Genomic DNA, 3212 nt, shown 5'->3' on the forward strand with positions numbered 1-3212 from the left:
CAGGAGTTCAGGACCCCCGATCTCAATGACCCACTGTAATGTCTCTTGCTAATGCTTTCACCTATAATACTAGTTATCTGCCCTCATGAAATCACAATTATGCCTGTGATCTTACAAGACATGTCAAGAGTTTTCAAGCTGAAAAAGCTGTAAAGATGCTTCCTGTCTTCATGGTAAGTGTTTCATGTGGGTGTAATACACAGGGATTAACAATCCTAGGCTCTTCTTTTGCCATGATACCCAGTTTTTCAGTCTTGCAAATACTGCATATTTTCTTAGTCCCCAAGAAACTAATGGAAGAGTTTACACATTTTTCCTAGGTGTCCCAGACCTCCCCCTAAGATGTGGATATCATATATTAAATGGCAGAAAAATAAATTGAGTCTGAAAAAAATATAGTATACTGTCATCTTCCCACACACCTCCTTCAACACCATAAAGGGTGCTTTTGTGGAGGGGTTGTCTCCATCTCAAATGATTTAGTTATCTAATTTCAAGAACACTTTATTACAAGGCAGTTTCACCTGTAATATTCAATTTGATTAGGTAAATATTTTTGGAGCTCTTGCTGTATTTAAATCAAAGAAGTCATTTATATAAATAAGCAGTTTGTGTTTGCATGTAATTTGCAGTCTAGTTACAGGGAGAAAACTTGTAACAAGGATTAGAATTTGTGGTAATAAAGGAAAAGTTAGAGTAAAAAAAAAACACACTTTTATAGGAGTTTAAAGATGGGAAAGAGCATATCCAGTTGAGGTGATGGGGAAAGGCTCCCAAAGGAGAGGGCATCTCCGATGGCCTTTGAAGGACTTGGTTAAGGATGATGTGACAGGATAGGTGTAGTAGGCAGAATTCCAAGACAACCCTGGGGTAAAATAAAGAATTTGTCTGGTCTTTGTCCTGGGTTTTAGGCTTAGAGTTCTTAAAAGCCTTGGGATTTCCTGAGTGAGGGGAATGTCTTTGCTATGCTAATGAAGTGACTCATTGTGGGCCACTAGATAGCTTCAGAATGGGGTCTGGTCACCAGAAAGACCAACCACAGGCTGAGCGTGATACGCTTGTAATCCCAGCACTTTGGGAGGCCGAGGCGGGTAGATCACGAGATCAGGAGATCAAGATCATCCTGGCTAACACACTGAAACCCCGTCTCTACCAAAAATACAAAAAATTAGCCAGGCATGGTGGCCAGCACCTGTAGCCTCAGCTACTTGGGAGGCTGAGGCAGAAGAATGGCGTGAGCATGGGAGGCGGAGTTTGCAGTGCACCAGTGCACTCCAGCGTGGGAGACAGAGCAAGATTCCGTCTTAAAAAAAAAAAAAAAAAAAAAAAGACCAACTACATGATTAGAGGGTTGGAATTTTGGACCTCCAGAGAGGAGAGAGGGAATGGAGACTGAGTTCAATTACATGCCCAATGACTTATGTAATCAATCATGAACACATAATGAAACTCCAGTAAAAACTCTGGACACCAAGGATGGTTGGAAATTTGTGGTTGGTGACCATTTGGATGTGCCTGGAGAGTGATGAACCTTTGACTCCATGAGGACAAGTGTGTAGAAGCTCTATGTTCCCTATAGCCCCCACTCTACGCATCTTTTATAATAAAACTATAATCATAAGTATTGCTTTTCTGAGTTTTGTGTCATCGTAGTGAATTATCAAACTTGAGAAGGTTATAGGAACCCACAAATTTATAGCCAGTCAATCAGAAGGGTGGCCTTGGATCTCACTTGCATCTAAAGTGGGGTCAGTCCTATGGAGGGCTTTGTCCTCAACTTGCAGAGATTCTCTTCAGTGGGCCTGACCAAGTCAGGTGATCCATTAAAAGGAGTAGGGCTCTTCCTAGCAAGACAACTGGAAGCATCAGAAGGATTCAACAGGAGAAACATTATCCATTGCTGGCTTTGAATACTGAGTGGGCCATACAGCAAGGAATATGCCAGCCTCTAGGAGAGTGGAGCCGTGGCTGACAGCTAAGGAAATAGGTACCTCAGTCCTGCAACCTCAAGAGACTGAATTCTGCCACAACCATATGAACTTGGAAGAGGATCCTGATCTCAAGATGAGAGCCTGGCTGACACTTTGACAAGCTTTCACCTCAACCTTGTGAAACTCTGAGAACCAATCCATGCTACACCCAGACTTCTGAGCTACAGAACTGAGGTCATAAACAGGTTTTTCTTTAAGCTATTAAGTTTGTAGAAATTTGTTTCACAGCAGTAGGAAACTGATAAAGAGGACCTGGTGATGAATGTCATGAACCATATCATCATCCTGTGTGGCCATACTGAGAGGTGACAGTGTACTGGCAGCCTTGGCAGCCCTGGCTCACTCTCAGCACCACCTCAGCCTCGGCGCCCACTCTGGCCACACTTGAGGAGCCCTTCAGCCGGCCACTGCACTGTGGGAGTCCCTCTCTGGGTTGGCCAAGGCCGGAGCCGGCTCCCTCTGCTTGCAGGGAGGTGTGGAGGGAGAGGCACAGGAGGGAACGGAGGCTGCGCACGCTGCTCGCTGGCCAGCACGAGTGCCAGGTGGGCATGGGCTCAGCGGGCCCGCACTCTGAGCAGCCAGCTGGCACTGCCAGCTGAGGGACTTAGCACCCGGGCCAGCAGCTGCAGAGGGTGCACCAGTTCCCCGAGCAGTGACGGCCCACCAACACCGCACTCAAATTCTCGCCAGGCCTCAGCTGCCTCCCCATGGGGCAGGGCTCGGACCTGCAGCCAGTCATGCCTGAGCCTCCACATCATGCCGTGGGCTCCTGCGTGGCCCAAGCCTCCCCGACGAGAGCCGCCCCCTGCTCCATGGCACCCGGTCTCATCAACTGCCCAAGGGCTGAGGAGTGCAGGTGCATGGTGCAGAACTGGCAGGCAGCTCCACCTGCCACCCTGGTGCAGGATCTGCTAGGTGAAGCCAGCTGGGCTCCTGAGTCTAGTGGGGACTTGGAGAACTTTTATGTCTAGCTAAGGGATTGTAGATACACCAACCAGCACTCTGTGTCTAGCTCAAGGTTTGTAAACGCACCAATCAGTGCTCTGTGTCTATCTAATCTAGTGGGTACTTGGAGAACTTCTGTGTCTAGCTCAGGGATTGTAAATGCACCAATCATCACCCTGTCAAAATGGACCAATCAGCTATCTGTAAAACAGACCAATCAGCTCTCTGTAAAATGGACCAATCAGCAGGATGTGGGTGGGGCCAGATAAGGGAATA

The 3212-nt window shown here is 47.3% G+C and overlaps 1 annotated feature.

The window, feature by feature from the left end:
* Positions 772–1066: a silencer, noted in NCBI's record as "tiled region #9242; HepG2 Repressive non-DNase unmatched - State 22:ReprW". NCBI's record gives its function as "represses a minimal TATA promoter and a strong SV40 promoter by Sharpr-MPRA in HepG2 cells {active_cell/tissue: HepG2}" and the evidence as "EXISTENCE:reporter gene assay evidence [ECO:0000049][PMID:27701403]".

This window comes from Homo sapiens, chromosome 16 (assembly GCF_000001405.40).
Source record: "Homo sapiens chromosome 16, GRCh38.p14 Primary Assembly".
Taxonomy (NCBI): Eukaryota; Metazoa; Chordata; class Mammalia; order Primates; family Hominidae; genus Homo; species Homo sapiens.